This window comes from Homo sapiens, chromosome 8 (assembly GCF_000001405.40).
Source record: "Homo sapiens chromosome 8, GRCh38.p14 Primary Assembly".
NCBI lineage: Eukaryota > Metazoa > Chordata > Mammalia > Primates > Hominidae > Homo > Homo sapiens.
In genome coordinates, this window is record NC_000008.11 from 19,316,028 (window position 1) to 19,334,177 (window position 18,150).

The following is an 18,150-nucleotide window of genomic DNA, read 5'->3' on the forward strand; positions in this document are numbered from 1 at the left end:
TCTGGGTGTCTTGGGTGTACTGTGCTGAGCTTGAGTTGGGGTCTGAGAAAGCCTTGGAGCGGGGGTTAGGGGTTGGGAATTAGAGGGTGAGGGGGACAGGTGATTTACACCAGTACCATTCAGCAGTGGCAGAATGGCCACATCGTCAACGGCCTGACCACAGATAGTTGTCGGCTGGGTCCCCCAAGTATTCTTGGAGGCACAAGGAAGCCAGTGTCTTTCCTTCAAGATGAACTAGTTAATTTTAATGTTAGAAATCCACGTTTGCTATAAAAAGTAAAACAAAACAACATAAAAATGGAAATAATGTGAGAATTTCATCACAGAGGTGCCATGAACCTCCTTGCACATGTGAGAGGCTGTGCTTTTTGTGCTGTTCTTAGTGTTTGTTTGGAAGGGGAAATTGTAGAGACGAAGTGGATGACTAAGTGCAAGGGGAAATGGGACTAAGTGTCTGGTGAATACGTGGGTAAGCAATGTCCACACCTGGGTCAGTGTGACAGTCGGTTCCTTGCTGTCCTTCCTGGCTGGGGTGTGTGCACCTGGCCTCCCCTAAGCTTAGCTACAGTTGACCAGGAGGAGGCTTCTGCCCTGTGTCAAGCACCATCAGTTCAGCGTTTCTGTTGCTGCAGGAATTTGCTGGCTTCCATTCTGAAATTTCATACATGGCACCACATCCTGCTGTTCTGATTCTGGGCACACAAATAAACTCACAAAAAGGCCTCTGTGTTGTGTATTACAGTGAAGCTGAGTTAGAGCTGGACTGCCCGGCTCTGCCGCTTACCAGCTGCTGACCTGTGCTCTATCTTCCTAATCTGTGAGATGGGCATAGTGATGGGCTGGACTCCAAGGGTTATTGTGAAGATTAAGTGAGTTAACACATGTAGAGTGCTTAATTAAGATGGTGCCTGGTACAAGAAGTGTTAGCTGTGTTATCAGGAATATGCAGGGCGGGGGAGACTGGAGGAATATGACTTTGACACTTTAAGGGTTTTAGATTCTAGGATCTACCCATGCCTTGAATAGGATTCGCTGCATTCAAAATGGGGAACACAGCAGAAGTCTCAACCCCAGCTGAACTGTTCATCTTCTGCCGTGTGTGATTTCTGCGAAAACCAACCATTGAACTTAAGGACATTTACTGGAATGTCAAGGAGTCATTCTGTCTCCTTTCTTACCACTTTATCTTGGAGCTTGTGGATTTCATTGGCTCCACCCTTTGAGAAGCTGCTAGAAACAAAAAGTCAAAAGTCAAGAAATCTTGACAAGACATCCATTTTTTTTTTTTTTTTTTTTTTTGGCTGTTCAAGCCTTTAAGGGTATCTCAATGCAAAATACAAAGTTGGCAAGTGGATCTGGGAAGGGCGTGATATTACTTTTAGTCCTTTAAAATTTTTCTCTTAATGTTTGGTTCCATTTGGATTCTGGTAGTTGAATGCTGCCGAGATGATAGGTTGCAGTCAGTAGGGATAGGTGTAGTTTCATCAAGGGCCTGGCTTCACAATGAACAGTCAGCGAATCTAAGAGCTGAGTATGCACACCACTCTGTGGTAGCCTAGCTGTTGAGCGTGCTTGTCTCAAAAGACAGGTGTAAATCAAGGAACTACTTTGCACGGAAGAGGAGGAAGACGGGAAGCTGAAGGAGGCCCCCAGATGGTGAGAGGGGCATTACAAATCTAACTGTATCAATGACAAGGTGAACGAAGAGAAACCAACAACACTACGATGGTCATAATATAGCTAAGTGACTTGTCTGAAGTTTAAGACTGTTTGAACATAGTATGGAGAAACAACGTATTTGAGAGCACATGGCAAGGTGGTAAGATTATTGAGGTGTTATTATAAATAACAAATTATTGGTCAATTTCTTTTTTTTTTCTTTTTTTATTTTTGAGACAGAGTCTCCCTCTGTTGCCCAGGCTGGAGTGTAGTGGCGCGATCTCGGCTCACTGCAACCTCTGCGTCCTAGGTTCAAGCGATCTCCTGTCTCAGCCTCTTGAGTAGCTGGGATTACAGGCACCCACCACCATGCCCAGCTAATTTCTGTATTTTTTGTTTTTTTAGTAGAGATGTTGGTCATACTGGTCAGACTGGTCTCGAACTCCTGACCTCGTGATCCCCCCTCTTTGGCCTCCCAAAGTGCTGGGATTACAGGCGTGAGCCACCCCGCCTGGCCTATTGGTCAATTTCTTAGGACACATGTGATTCTGAAAAGTTGTAGTAAGTTTTTTTTCTTATATCTTATTACATCGAATCCAAAGTCTTTTGTTTTCCAGAATAGATATATTTACATAGTTTCCTGCTGATTACAAAAGTATGATGGTTTATGGGACTTAGAAATTGTTTAAAAATAGAGAGAGAAAGTATGACAGTGTGGTAATATTTTTAAGCCAATATTTTAAAATAGAAATGTGGAAAGTAGAATGAAACCTCAGTAGGATTTCCAACCACAGGAGAACTTCTAGGAGGCCACTGTGCACTCTCGCTTTATGGTTTCTCTTTCAAGGAGCCATGCGGTAAAGTCATATAAATGAAGGATCCTTTGTTATGAACCTAATGACCTCTTCATCCCCCTAGTTTATCTGGTCTGTCCATTTAGATTTTATTAAACTAGGTTATCTGGAAAAAGCACACCTAAAACTCGGTGACCTTCCAGAATGTAGATGGATGTTCTCTCTTGCACCTGCCCTGATTTTCATGGCTCTAGTAGGTTATCTGGAAATTACATTATCCTTTTGTGAAGAGGAAAGTACATAATTTTGTTTATTTAATGCTACTTTTTAGGGAAATTGCAGAAAATGCATGGTGGTCTAGTTTTTATTTCTTCCTTTTTCTTCCTTGAGCATGGCTCTATTTTGGTTTGGTTTGGGATGAGTTACTCTGTGACATATCAAAAGTGGTATTTTCTTTTGAAATAGGTACTTTGCAGAGAGCCTTTTAATTTCTTCCTGTGACTTTTTTTTTTCTTTCTTTTTTCAGCCACACAGTTGGTGGTTTGTTAGGCTCTGGGGTAATAATGTGTTTGCTTAGTTGGGAGCTGGACAAACCTCTGTGAACTTTTTTTGTTTGCCTGAGATTGACCTGTATAAAGTTAGGGTTTGTTTTCTTTTTTTTTTTGACAGAGTATCTTTAGAAATTACAGGATAGAGGTTATACAAACTCTTAACAAAGTGTGCCTCAGATTTTCTTCTTCTCTTTTCTCTCTGAACTGAAAAGTGATACTGTGTTTCCTCCTAGCTTTTTTTTTTAAACCCGTCCTAGCCAGTGTCCACACATTTTAACACGCTGCCTGAATGTGGGCTCTTTCTCTCTGCAGGTTCAGTGAACAGCATTTTGGACAGGACATTTGGTGCCAGGTCTGAGTAGCCAGTTTGCTGAATTATTGTCCCAGTCAGCCAGGATTGTGAGCTGTTTGGGAAGTTTCGTGGAAACGCCCAAGTGCCAGCACAGGTGGAGGGACACCTGGAGGCCAGTTTCAGGAACTTTTGCCACAAGTATAAAAGACTTCAGAAGTGCAAAGATGCTGAAACAGATACTGTCGGAGATGTACATAGATCCTGATCTACTGGCAGAGCTCAGCGAAGAACAGAAACAGATCCTGTTCTTCAAGATGAGAGAGGAACAGATCCGACGATGGAAAGAAAGAGAAGCAGCTATGGAAAGAAAGGAGTCCCTGCCAGTGAAACCCAGACCAAAGAAAGGTAAACTTATCCACGTTTCTTCTGTGGATGTGTTGGTAGAACAGCTCCTGGCTTGCTTTGACAATTTCACACTAGTCACAAGCAAAGCAGGTGCAAGTTCCAGTTTGGCAGATGAATCCTAAATGTTATTGAGAATCTAATAGTGCAGTATGTCCACCTGAAGTCTACACACACACACACAGCATTCACCATGGAGTTGCATAGCTATGAGGAAATCTTTTACTTGAAACCAGACTAACCTGAAGCTGTATTAAAAAGTCACCTATGAGGTTTGATTTGAGGGGTATTAAGAAAGGTTTCTATCTCCTTTATTGTTACTGGTTCCTAATATGCTACTACTAGAACACAAAGTTCTTGTGTCAGTATATTTATAGCAATTGTGTTTGCATTTCTTAGACCTCAGAGATTTTTCTTTGAGGTATCTTTTTAGGGAACACCTCCTGTTAAAATGTAAGGAATTGCTATAAGGAAAAAAATCATAATACTATCTTTTTTTAGTGTGAATGAGTTTCTCAGATGTAAACTTTTCCTCGTTATCAAAGGAATCTCTGGTAGTTTGAGAGGGTTCTTTTGAGACCATGGGGGAGGAAATCTTTGTACATTAAGACTTAAAGCAGACAAGGTGCAGTGGCTCATGCCTGTCATTGCAGCACTTTGGGTGGCCGAGGTAGGAGGATCACTTGAGTCCAGGAGTTCTGACCAGCCTGGAAATATAGTGAGACCTTTTCTTTAGGAAAAATAAAAAATTAGCTGGGCATGGTGGTACATGCCTATAGTCCCAACTACTTGGGAGGCTGAGGTGGTGTAATTGCTTGAGCTCAGGAGATCGAGGCCACACTGAACTGAAATCACACCTCTGCACTCCACCCTGGGTGACAGAGTGAGACTGTGTGTCAAAAAAAAAAAAAAAAAAAAAAAGACTTAAAGCATATACACATACAGACACAGAAAAATACACATTGTCCACCCTCCTCACTCCGTTCTCACTAACCCCCACACCCCCGCCTTGCTGTTTACATGCGAAGTCTGTCATGGGTGAATACCAAAGTTGTGAAAACACAGCACACTTTTCAAGGTCACTTGCAGAGGCATCTAAGACCGTCTCTTTTCATGTTTCATTAAACCAGGAAAATAAAATTTTGTAAAATCACATATGGTTTCAAAGATTGAGAAAATGAATCTCTCTTGCATCCCTGGTATATGCCCAGGTTCACAAAGGAGGTCAGTGTAGCGTCCTTTACTTTTTACTGTCTTTTATTAAAACTTTTTTCCAGTGATGCCTTTATCATGACAAGGAAATAAACAGAAATATGTCATTTCCTCTTGTTATGATCAATACAACTATTTATGAAACACCTCCTGTTTCAGACACTATGTGAAGCACATTTATGCATATAATGCCTAACCTTCACAAAACTTCTGCAAAGTCAGCAGTGACAGTCCTGTTTTACAGATGATGAGACTTAGAGAAGTTCATTTTTTTTTTTGCTTGTTTGTTTGTTTGAGATGGAGTCTCACTCTGTCGCCCTGGTTGGAGTGCAGTGGTACAATCTTGGCTCAATGCAACCTTCGTCTCCCGGGTTCAAGCAATTCTCCTGCCTCAGCCTCCCAAGTAGCTGGGATTACAGGCATGTGCCACCACACCCAGCTAATTTTTGAATTTTTAGTAGAGGTGGGGTTTCTCCATGTTGGCCAGGCTGGTCTTGAACCCCAGACCTCAAACGATCTGCCCACCTGGGCCTCCCAAAGTGCTGGGATTACAGGCCTGAGCCACTGAAGCTGGCCATGAAACTTAGATAAGTTGAGTAATATATGCAAGGTTATACCACCAATAGATGCCCAGTTCTGTTGGATTTTACATTATTCTGCACTATCCAAAATACAACTTTTCCTCCAACAAATAACATGGCCAAACTGAAACATAACTCTTTTTCTTTCTAAACTGGTTTATGCACCTTCTTGGATTCCCCAGTCAGAGTTTTTCAGATATAATTGGGTCTCTTCTGGGCACCATGTTCACTGTGAACATAACATATATTAGTGTGATGGGGTGACCTTGGGGACTAGCAGCCAAAGGGTTCTTGCCACTAGAGTCAATGGCCCAGACTCTGTTAGACTTTGGGTTTCTCGTGTTTGCTGAATTGGTCTCCTTGTGATGACTTAAAATAATAATTTCAGTTTCTTTGCTTACATTTCTCGCTTGTAGGGTTTTGAATCTACCTCTCAGAAACCCTGTGTTAACTTTGTTAGTCAAATGATCATGAGAAAAGTATGTTAATATAAGTGGGGAAAGTTCTATCAATATCTCACGTCAAAAGTGTATTACTCCCTTAAATTGAAAACTTGGAAAAATATATTTTGCATTAAATTAGTTCCTCTTCTGACTACAGAAAGGGAAAAAGTTACTCCCACTTCCCCTAAAATCCCATCACTTCTCTTTCATCTTGCGCTGTCTTTGAAGATAAAGCCATAGACCGTCCAAAGCAATGCTGTCATGGCTGGTGCTGCCAGAGGTGCTTATCTGTGCTGCAGACCTGCTAAGCCCATGACCCTTGTGGGTTGACAGGTCACTCGTGCATCTGATCCCTGAAGGCTTGTGCTCCCTGCCTCCCCTTCTCCCGCCTTTCTGGTTAGTACTGAGCTAAGTGCTGCTTTTTCTTAGCAGTTCTTAGCCACACGGTGGTTTTGAAGGTTGTTCATTTCATTAAAAACATCATAGGCCACCCCTGCCATTCCTTGACCCCCTCTAGCTTATCACTTAGAAGTTCCTTCATTGTCATCTGGTCATTTTTCACTACGAATACACAGACCCCTGTGCTTAGTGTTTGGGGATCATCACTAAAATTGTTGTGTATTGTGCATCACAGAAACTTGTCTATTATTCTTTTTTTTTTTTTTTTTTTTTAAAGACAGAGTCTTGCTCTGTCTCCCAAGCTGCAGTGCAGTGGTGTGAGATTTCAACTCACTGCAACCTCTGTCTCCCTAGCTGCAGTGCAGTGGTGTGACATTTCAACTCACTGCAACCTCTGCCTCCCAGGTTCAAGCGATTCTCCTGCCTCAGCCTCCTGAGTGACTAGCTGGGATTATAAGCACCTGCTACCATGCCCAGCTAATTTTTGTATTTTCAGTAGAGACAGGGTTTCACCATGTTGGCCAGCCTGGTCTTGAACTCCTGACCTCAAGTGATCCACCCACCTCCGCCTCCCAAAGTGCTGGGATTACACGCATGACCCACCGTGCCCGACTTGTCTACTTGTTAGTAATCTGAAGGCTGAAGTAGAAGGGGCTGAAAAACTATCAGCATGTGAATTTAACTTAGTACTATATGAGAAGATCATTTCTGATTTCTGTAGTGGGAGAATGTGATACTTAGGGAGAGACGTATGGATCTACTCTGCTTGCTGGGGTAGCTAGAGGTCTACAGCCGCACCGTCCAGTGCAGTCACCACAAGCCACATGTGGCTCTTGAGCACAGGAAATGAGGCTAGTCTGGATTGAGGTGTGCTATACATGTAAACTACCGGATTTCAAAGACTTGGTAGAAGGAAAAGATAATGCCACATTAATAATTGTATATTCCTTATATATGGAACTGATGATATTTTGTATATCTTGGGTAAAGTAAAATACTTAATTTCACCTGTTCCTTTTGATTTTTTTTTTTTTTTGAGACAGAGTCTCTTGCTCTGTCTCCCAGGTTGGAGTACAGAGGCATGATCTCAGCTCACTGCAACCTCTGCCTCCTAAATTCTAGCGATTCTCCTTTCTCAGCCTCCCAAGTAGTTGGAGTTACAGGTGTGCGCCAGCACACCCAGCTAATTTTTGTATTATTAGTAGAGATGGGGTTTCACCATGTTGGCTAGGCTGGTCTCAAATTCCTGACCTTAGGTGATCCACCTGCCTCGGCCTTCCGAAGGGCTGGGATTACAGGTGTGAGCCAGGGCACCCGGCCTCCTTTTGATTTTTTTAATGTGGCTACTAGAAAAGTGATAGTTATGGATGTGGTACACATTTCTGCATGCTATAATGGTAGCACCAGCCAGCATTCAATACGCTTAACTGGGTATCAGACCCTGAGCATTGAGATTAAGTATATTGTCTCACTAAATAATCACAGCTAAGCCTGAAGTGTGTGTTGCTATTCACTTTTCACAGATGAGGAAAGTCAAGCTCAGGGACGTTCATTAACTTGGCCAGGGCAAACAGTAAGTGACACAGCTGGAATAGATCCTGGGTCTCATTCTCCCAAAGCCAGCACTGTAAACAAATAAACTACACGTAGAGCTTAACTGGAGCTTAATGACAGTGACTTTTGTCTGAAGCTACCTTCACTGGACCTTAATGACAGTGACTTTTATGTGAAGGCGCCTTGCGCACATCTAAAACATGTGCTCGCGTCAGGAATCTGCCACAGAGCCTTCTTCTTGGGTGATTTTATTGGGTAACGCAAACAGAAGACGCCTTCGCTTAGCAGCGTGTTTCCCAGCACTTGTTTCATGGGGTCTATGTCAAGTTGATGGAAACCTAATGCAATGGGCTGAGATCTGGTTGCTGTGCAAGGTGCGGAAGGGGCTCCTCTGTGTGCCCTTGAAACAGACTTGGATTCATACAGCTTTTTTTGCTGCGTTCTCATTGTTCCCAAGGGGGCAGATCCTTTATGAAAAGCTTTCCCTCTATTTTTGTGAAATAATGTTAAGGCCATTGGTTCATGCCATTGACAGTGTTTGCCTCCCTGTCTTTCCCTTTTGAACTCACTGCATGCAGTAGGGCTATCAGCACAGGGGCATCACCTGCTGGATTCCTTCCTTATCTTGATCAATTCCTCAGCCGCCTCTGACTCTAGATGCCTCTTGGTGTCTCTCTCTTGGAGTTGCCGCCCAGTCACGAGTGTCTTGCTCTCTCCCTGTTTCTTTTTTCTTCTCTGCCTTCATCTTGAATATCTGTATTCCCCAGGGGGTGCCTCACACTGCACTGGTGGTTTGTGGTTTTGAGATGAGGCTGGGGGATCATAGACTCCTTTGAAAATTTACTGAAAGCTTAGAGCTAGGAAAATGCACAGAGACACCATTCTGTGTATAATCTCACAATGTTCATAGACTCCCTGAAGCTCATTCATAGACTCTCAGGGGTTCGCAGATCCTAGGGTAAGGTGAAAGTTCTGATTATCTCCCTAGGGCAACTCTTATAACCTTTAAACGTGAAACATCACCTTCATGCCAGTGACTCAAACCCAGATTGCCAAGCCAGACCTCTCACCCGAGTGTTGGTTGCCTGGTGAGCACCTCCGTTCAGAAGACCTGTAAGCCTTGCAAGCTTGATGCAAAACCCAATTCACCAGCATCACTCCAACTCCCTCCGGCGTCTGCTGGTCCTGCCTTTTACTCTCTATGATGATGGGTGGTATTGCTCTGTTCCCAGTCACCAAAACCAGAACTCCAGGAGCCACGCTGTTTCCTCCCTGACCCTCACTCACCCACCTAGTCTCTGATGCCTTGGGTTTTGCTTCATCAGTCCCATTCCATAGAGATTTCCCACTACCAAGATACTGTTCTGTTAGGATGTGCCAAGCATAAGATTTGTATTCATATGATTTCATTTAATCCTCACAAGGATCCGGTCAGGTAAATCTTGCCCCCTTTATTGTTACAAATAAGGAAACATACTTAGAGACATAATTTGCATGAGTCAGTGGTAGAGTTAGGATTTGAACTCAGATACAGTTCAACTCCAAGTCTGTCCTGAACTACTGGCCCTGAGCCCCACTTTTCTGTTCCCCCAACTCTGGGCTTTATAATTAAACTGGGATTGGCTTCCTAGCTGCGTGGCGAACATCTTTTTTGGGTAACACTGTCAACTTCCTTGAGCCATGGGCTTCACTGATGTCCTCTCTCTATTTTCTAGTTCTTCCATCTGCTTTTCCAGCGGAGGTTCTCTCGTTTCTATACTGCCCTCTGCTTCCCTAGGCTGTAGTGCCATGCAGGTTCCCCAACTTTCTTTCTCTCCTCATCTCTAAATAAGCATAAAAATTTATTAAAATGTTTAAAAATCCACTTTGATATTAATAACTTCAGGATTGTTACGTATGCTAACAAATATAGGAAATAATGGGGAAAGCAACAGTTTGAATCATTTCAGGAAGTTCTGATAGAAATGGGCCTTGGCCTTCATTAAAATGAATACGGGGCTAGACCTAGCGTTTTCATCACCCTGCCGCTCTGTGGAGCTGGGAAAGAACATGATGGCAACTTCACATCCCTGCTTGCCCAGTGGGGTCCTGTGTGTGGTTGCCACCCCAGCGTCCCTTTTCAATTGCTCCATTTTCACCCTCCAAAGCATTTCAGTTTGGACTGTATGAGGTAAGCTGGCCTAAACAAGTTTTGCCATCACTCATGCAGAACGGTTTTGAATTCTGTTCTCAGTGTTTACTAGCTCTGTGATCTTGGGCAAGTTATTTAACTTCCTTGAGCCTCAACTTCCTCATTGCAAAATAGGTGAGTAATCACCTGAGCTGATATTTAGTGACAGATAGGGCATGGGCATCAACCAGTTGGAAGGGATGTGGGCCCTGCCAGTCAGGCATTTGTCTTCTGGTTTCTGGGTCAGTTGAGGGGAACCGGGGTGTCCCAAAGGAGAGGCCAGAGGGAAGGAAGATCCACTTGGGACAATATGGCAGTGGTTTCTGGGAGTCTGCCAGCATGGTAACAACCTTGGTGTTGGTGGGCACCTTGCTTCCATCAGCCCTGATGAGACCCCACTGTAGTTAATATGGAACGTTGCTACCACTGTCCCCTCTACCTCATAGGAGGCCCTGGTGTTGACTCTCTTTTGCAGCTGTTGGCTCAGTCTTTGGTCTTTTCTTTGTGGGGATAAAGTACATGATTCTCCTTCCCTTTCTCTCTGTTCTCTTCCCCCACATCGTGTGTGTGTATGTGTGAGTGTGTGTGTGTGTAGTGTGTGTGAGAGCATGTGTGCCTGCCTCTCCCCCCTCTCGCACACACGTCTTTTACTGTGATTGCCCATCAGGTTGAATCCAGTGGGGGTGGAGACCAAGAGCTGACTCCTCAAAGGTGAGTCTTAGCCCTTGATCTCCACCTTAGCTGAATCTAAGGCTGGCATTCACTGCCCCCGAGGAGCTAATCCACACTGATGCCCACATCTCACCCTCAGGTGCCCCTGTCGAGCCCATCACCTGGGAATAAATCCAACTCAACAGTGCTGTGAGTGGCATCATGCTGCAATCTAGGACTGGACCAAGCCCGGCCATCTCCTTGCCAGGGACATGTGTCACCCCACTTTTATCTGATGTTTTTCAATACTGCCTAGTTAGAGGAGGCCCTAGGGGGAAATGTCTCTCAGATCTTAGAGATTTCTCTGCAGAATGAAGTGTGGATGTATCTCTACTTGGCAGTGTTGTTCTGAGCAGGACTGACCCGCCTTTCTAGAAAAGTTGGTTTTAGAAAAACACTTCAAGAAACCCCCAAGATAGCAAACATGAAGAGTCCTGCAGTGTATAAACATGATTCAAGGACTGGAAAGAGAAACCCTGTAATTAAACGAAGTGCTATAAAAAGCTCCCTCCTTCACTCACCTCTGATTAAAGAGTGCGTGTAATTTTAAGGTGAAGCAGACAGAAAATGCAGAATGCCTGGGCGGTATTCAACTAGGAAAAGACACGTGCATGCCCCATTAGGCTCCCTGAAATGTACCTTAAGAAAGCACACTTAAGGAAGTACACTGCTTACAGAAATGGGGTTCTGTGTATCTCCATTTTCAACTTCTCTTACCAGACTGGAGCTTTCCTCAACTCCTTGTCAATGCTTTGTTCTTCACCTGCACCTCCTTCTATCCATCATTCCCTGGGTGTCACCCTTGACATCCTTACTCCCGCCTCTTCCAACACCCCAGGTATACTCCCTGCCTGTGTTTCCCCCATTTAAAGAAATCGTTCAGCCAACTGTGCTCTTGAAGTACTCTTTCTGTCCCTTGGGTCTATGGAGCAGTGGTGGGAATGTAGCAGACACTCAGTAAATACTTGCTGAACCAATAACAGGGAATCCTCCTTTTCCTCTTCACAATAAACGCCAGAGCACACGCTGACTGCCGACACCAGTTCTCACCATCCCTTCCATCCCGCCTTTGTAGCCTGCCCCACTGGCGTCCCCAGAATGAGTCTCTCTGAAGTCCGAGGCTGCCTGAGAGCTTTCTCAGTCTATATCATCCTCCGCTTCATCTCAGCAGGGCTTGACACTGCCCTGTCCCTTTCCTCTCTCAGCAACATGGCAGGACATTCTCCCTGGTCTCCTCCACTGTTTGGTTATTTGGGGCATCAGAATCCTCCATGTTTTTCGTTTGTTTATTGTCAATCAGGACTCTCTTTTCCCTCCCCTTTCTTCTGCCCTCTGAATAAAGCACCTGCTTTTCCAAGGTTCTCTTCTTGGCTTCATTCTCTCTATGAGCTCATCTGTACCAGTGGCTTCAATAACGCCACCTATAGAGTCATTCCCAAGTCTACATGGCTAATCTCGGCCTCACTTCTGGACTCCAATTCTGGATTCCAGATGTCGATTGAAAGTCCTCATATGGATTTCTAGTAAAAGTAAAAATAACGTAGTCTACGCTTCCAAAACAGCTTGTTTTTTTTTTTACTCCTTAAGCAAATGAATTTTCTTGTCACTACTTCTGCCTGTCCGCTGCTGTGTTCCCAGTTAGCGAGTTTCAGGATTCTGGCATCATCTTTGAGTCCTTCCTTAAATCCAGTGGCCTGAACCTTCCTAAATTCTTGAATACTGTCATTTCCTATGCCTGCCCTATTTAGGACCTGACTGCCTCACTCCTGGTCTTTTGACCCCTAGTCTCTCCCCATTCTCTCCCCAAATGCTGACTGAATACCCACCACATGCCACCCTGGTCCATCCTGTATATACTGACATGCGGAGCAGAGCTTCCTCAATCACTTTCTGATCCAATCCTTGCACCATCTGCTCAGAAATATTCGTGCATTCTTCATTGGCCACTCAGATAAAGAATGTGAAAATAATACACTGTGAGCATTTGTCACCTAGCAGGCCTGTGAGGTAGGACTTTCTTACCTCTGTTTACTATAGAAGGAACTCAGGCTTGGAGACATAAATTGATGTATGCATGGTCTCATAACTTGTCAGGGGTAAAACTGGGATTTTGCTCTAGCTTTCTGGCTCAGCTGCAGTACAGGTCCTAAATTTCAGTCCCTTAGCCAGGTGTGTGGGACCCTGTGCCACATGGCTCTCTGCTCCCCTGTGTGATGGTCAGCCTATGCCACACACGTGCAGGTGACTTCTGGTGCCCCTCTCGGCCCTGGTGGAGACCCTCATTTCCTATTGCCCATGGCTGCCTGCTGATTCCCTTCTCTGTTCTTTGGTCATGTTGTTCTTTGCATCCAGCGTCAAACACACCCTCACTCTCTGTCTAAATTCCATATCCATCCTCCCATACTCAGTACAAAGAACTTGTCGTATTTCTCTTCTGTCTTTACAGAGCAATCTCTCCATCCCCTGAATCCTCACTGGACTTAGTAGAAAATCCACTGTGGTTATAATGTATGCTGCCCTGGCCCTCCAGGGACTTAGTTCTTTTTTTTAAGCATTCCCATAGCATCCTTTAACACCACCCCCACCAGCTTTTGAAGTTCTAATAATTTTAGAATTAATTAAGTATCCATGTCTGCTTTCCACAACTAGAATGTTAGTCTCCTGAGGACAGGGACTACTAGAATGTTAGTCTCCTGAGGACAGGGACTACTAGAATGTTAGTTTCCTGAGGACAGGGACTAGACCATCTTGTCCTAAGTGTTTACTTGTGTGATATGGTTTGGATCTGTATCCCCACCCAAATCTCATCTTGAATTGTACTCCCATAATTCCCACATGTTGTGGGAGGGACCTGGTGGGAGGCAATTGAATCATGGGGGCAGTTTCCCCCATACTGTTCTCATGGTAGTGAATAAGTCTTCTGAGATCTGAAGGTTTTATCAGGGGTTTCCACTTTTGCATCTTTCTTACTCTCCCTTTGCCTGCTGCCATCCATGTAAGACGTTACAGGTGCAAGTAGCTCCTCCTTGCCTTCTGCCATGATTGTGAAGCTTCCCTAGTCATGAAACTTTAAGTAATTAAACTCTTTCTTTTGCAAATTGCCCAGTCTTGGGTATGTCTTTATCAGCAACTTGAAAATGGACTAATACACTGTGTCTACCTCAGTGCCTGACACGTATTAGATATGTGATGAAAATTCATTAAATGCATCACCTAATGTCTTGCTCCTTCTCTTGTAGACTCTAGGTTACTTGCAGGGGAATGGGCACATCTCTTTCATCCCTTTCATTCCTGTATCACCTGCAGCATCTAGCTCTACATCTTGCTAATAGCAAAAACTCATTTTCTGCCTTGTAGAATGAACTACTACGAAGGCCTTGAGAGTCATCCCCTCATCTGATGTGAAGCCGAGGGTATCCCAGCTAACACTCATTATACTAGAACAACTTCCCCCTCCTCCTACAGCTTCAGGGAGTTCATGGAACCACTTGAAGCTCCTCCAGTATCCCCACTCTCTGAGCTCATTGAAGAGCTCTTAGAGGTGAAAAGTCAGCAGAGAGACCATTGTCAGTGCCACTCTGTCAAGAGCCCGTTTTTCAGCATCTCACTAACTCTGACATTTCCCATCTCATTCTCTTTCTTCTTGCCAAGAGCCACTGCTTCTTTATGGTCACTGTGTTCTCTCTGTTACCTCCTTTAAAGCTTTCTTGACTCTGCTCCTCTCCTTTGCTCTCTTCTCTGTGTTTAGCTTTGAAGCCCCAACTGCTCACATGCAGTCCTAGGATTTCTCTCCCCACCTGCAGCAATGCCCCTTTTCCCTAAGAGTTCCTGCCCTGCCCGTAGCCCCTGGAGGCTGTTCTGGAGCTGTTCTGGGCTGTCCTAGCTGAGGTGCTGGAATCCCTCTGCTCTTCCTTTTTCTTCCCCTGGCACAGTGCCACTTGCCATCTTTCTGGGCATCTTCCTCTTGCTGTCAAAAAAAAAATACCGACAGAGAACTACTTAGGTGAAGGCTGAGAGGCTGACATAAAAAAAATATTATTAGTTGGCCTGAGAGAGTGTAATAAAGGGAGTTTTATGAGGTATGACAGCTTTCTAAAGTTAACAAACCATCTGGCATTATGTCAAACAGACAAAGAGCTTGCCAGGAGCTGGCACTGGTGCCCAGCCCCATTTGGGCATGGTGGGATTGACCTTCCCCTCCTTACCTGGAGGCCACATTTGCTGTTTCTCCACAGTGAAAACAGTAAATGGGAATTCTTTGGTAGTGCAGAGTCTGAGTCTGTTCCCTCTGCCCAGCGTCTCTGTTTAGAACATACTGCAGGAGTGTCCACTGTACCAAGAAGGGTAGAAAGGGTCAAAAGAAAGCACGAGCCTGGCTTTGAGCAGCCTGCTTTGGTAATGTATCCCAAGGCCACAGTACAAAAGTCAAGAATACGTTGGACAGAAGACACCTTAATTGGAAACCTCCTTTGACTTAGTGTGAGAGGACAAGACACAATCCCAGTGTGGATGTTTTGCTCATCAAACAGGGCCCAGCACACACACCAGCCAGGTGCCCTCTTCCATGCAGTCAGCACCACTGCTAGTTTGGGGTCTTGACTAGAGGTCCACCTTTGGCCCACAGTTGCCCTGGGTAGGCCTGACAGACTCAGGGATGGTCTCTGTTGGCCTCTCCTAGGTACGCTCCACCTGCCCCCGGTTTAAGGGAGCATGACCGATGTGGCCGCATTTCAGGAGCACTAGGATATAATCTAACCTGGAGGCCAATTGTAAACAAGGGTTATTTAAGTAGCTTCACCAAGTATCATACTACCTGGTTATATTATCTTCTCACAGGCTGGTGTGAATCTCTGAGGCAGCCATATAAGTAAATAATAGGCTAGCAATGATAGCAGTTAACCTCTATTGAACTCCTGTTATGTGGCAGGCACTAGGGGAAGAACTTGGCACAGGTAGCCTGCCTGCCCACAGCAACCCTAGGTAGTAAATATTGGTATTCCCATTTTGCAGATGAGGAAATTGAGTCTAAAGAGTTTAAGAAAGTTGTCCAAGTCACATAGCTCGTAAGTGACAGGGCTAGGATTTGAACTCAAGGTGGTCTAAATCTAAAATACCTCCTTATCTGAGGCAAGAGGATTGCTTGAAGCCAGAAGTTTGAGACCAGCCTGGGCAACAAAGCAAAGCCCTGTCTCTACAAAAAATTTTAAAAATTAGCTGGGCATGGTAATGCATGCCTGCATTCCTAACTACTATGAGCTCACCACTGCACTCCAGCCTGAGTGACAGAGCAAGACACCATTTCTAAAATAAAATAATAAATACAAATAAAATACAATATAAATAAAATAATAAAACCTGCTTTTTACCCACCTATGAAGCCTGTGAATGTAGTACAAATGCCACACCCTTGAGCAGCTGTGGAATTCTGGGTTACAGGGAGATAGTTAGATGTAAGAATTTATGGTGTGAAGTGCTAGCTCTGTTACCCTAAAGGATAATGCAAACAATGAATGCTTGCTTCCCATTTCAGTTTCTTCATTTATAAAATAGGCACATGCAGCCAGGCGCAGTGACTCACACCTGTAATCCCAGCACTTTGGCAGGCTGAGGTGGGTGGATCACGAGGTCAGGAGTTCAAGACCAGCCTGGCCAAGATGGTGAAATCCTGTCTCTACTAAAAATACAAAAATTAGCTGGTCGTGGTGGCAGATGCCTGTAATGGTGAAACCCTGTCTCTACTAAAAATACAAAAATTAGCTGGGCATGGTGGCAGGTGCCTGTAATCCCAGCTACTTGGGAGGCTGAGGTGGGGAACGGCTTGAACCCAGAGGCGGAGGTTGCAGTGAGCCAAGATCATGCCACTGCACTCCAGCCTGGGCAACAGTGTGAGACTGTCAAAAAAAAAAAAAAAAAAAAAAGCACGGGCAAAAAACATACCCCTAATATTTTTAAAACAAATATTTTCACTGAAGCTGCCTCTCACTGCCACCACTGCCATTGCTACCTACAGATGTTCCTGAGCAGTTGGAAGTTCTTTGTCTCATCTGATATATATATATATATTTTCAAAGACCCAAAATACTTTAGTGATGGAAACAGTAATCTGTGACTAAAGATATTTGTTCAATCTGAATTTTTTGTTTGTGTGTTTGTTTGCAGAGAATGGCAAATCGGTTCATTGGAAACTTGGAGCTGATAAGGAAGTCTGGGTATGGGTGATGGGCGAACACCATCTAGATAAACCCTATGATGTGCTCTGTAATGAAATTATTGCTGAGAGGGCCCGGCTGAAAGCAGAACAGGAGGCAGAAGAGCCCAGGTATGAGATCTGCAAACCAACCAGAGACTTAAAGACTCTCCAGACTTTAGAAAACATTGCAAACACACCTCTTGCTCACAGTATCAGGTGGGAGAGTAGGGTTGGGTTGGAGGGTCACAAAAGTCACTTTGGATCTCTTTGGAAGGTTGATTTAGACTTTTGGTCTAAAGACCTTTTGGATCTCTTTAGAAGGTTGATTTAGACTTTTGATCTAAAGTCTTTGATAGCACTAAAGACCTCATGAAAATCTTTAGTGCTGTCAAATCAGCTGCTTCATCTCCCTGCTTGTCATTCCAGTTTTGATCTGTATGAGTGTATGAGTTCCCCAGTGATCACCCGTGGCTGCACTAGAGTCATGTTAGAGCAATGCAGGCCGACGCAGCTGAGTATCAGGAACATATGTGAGAAATGCAGTGACTGTGCAAGCTTCAGGCCTTCCAAGGAGATCACTTAGATACAGGCGGCTGGATAATCAGGCTCTTTAGGTGCCTACCCAGTGCAAGGTACTGGGAATTCAAAGAGAAACAGGGAGCTTCCAGTCTAGGAGGAGAAGTAGACATATGCACAGCTCACTGCGGCCAGTGCAGGCTGTGATTTGTGCTATAATTAAGGTACAAACAGAAAGTTTACCAAGCATAGGTGGGAACCTATCATTCTGATCCACAGACGAGGTGAAATCTGAACCAAACCTTGAAAGGAGTGGTTTTCCAGCTACAGAAGGCCAGGAAGGAAAGTGCAGGCAGAGGGCTTAACCAAGATCCCTAGACTTGACTACGGATGGTTCTTTGGGGAATGATGAGGTCTTCTGAGCATTTGGAATACACTTGGACAACTGCTTCAGAGGCCAGATTTAGGAGTTTGGAACTTATTCTCTGGACGGTGAGGTTTTTCAATAGGGAAGTGACATCAACTGCAGATGTAGGAAGGTAACTCGGAGGGAAACTGAGGCAGGTGATGGCGCTCCTCTGCTGGGTACCTGGGGTGCTCTGGGTGTCCTCCTCTGGCTCTGGGCAGTGATGTTGACAGCCTTACCCTGAGGTGGTGAAGTGGAAATTGGGACAGA

General features: G+C 44.5%; 1 protein-coding gene across 8 annotated transcripts in view; it reads left to right on the forward strand.

The window, feature by feature from the left end:
• Positions 1 to 18,150, forward strand: part of SH2D4A (SH2 domain containing 4A) — an 82,526-nt gene that overhangs the window by 2,335 nt on the left and 62,041 nt on the right. For 7 of the 8 annotated variants that reach the window (NR_156444.2, NM_022071.4, NM_001363110.2 and 4 more), the window contains exons 2-3: positions 3,317 to 3,701; positions 16,928 to 17,087. Coding sequence is in view for 7 of the 8 variants with exons in the window: in NM_022071.4 (NP_071354.2) it covers positions 3,521 to 3,701; positions 16,928 to 17,087 (341 nt within the window). In the remaining variant the exon portion in view is untranslated. The remainder of the gene's footprint in view (positions 1 to 3,316; positions 3,702 to 16,927; positions 17,088 to 18,150) is intronic. The other variant, NM_001174160.2, reaches the window with a different exon arrangement.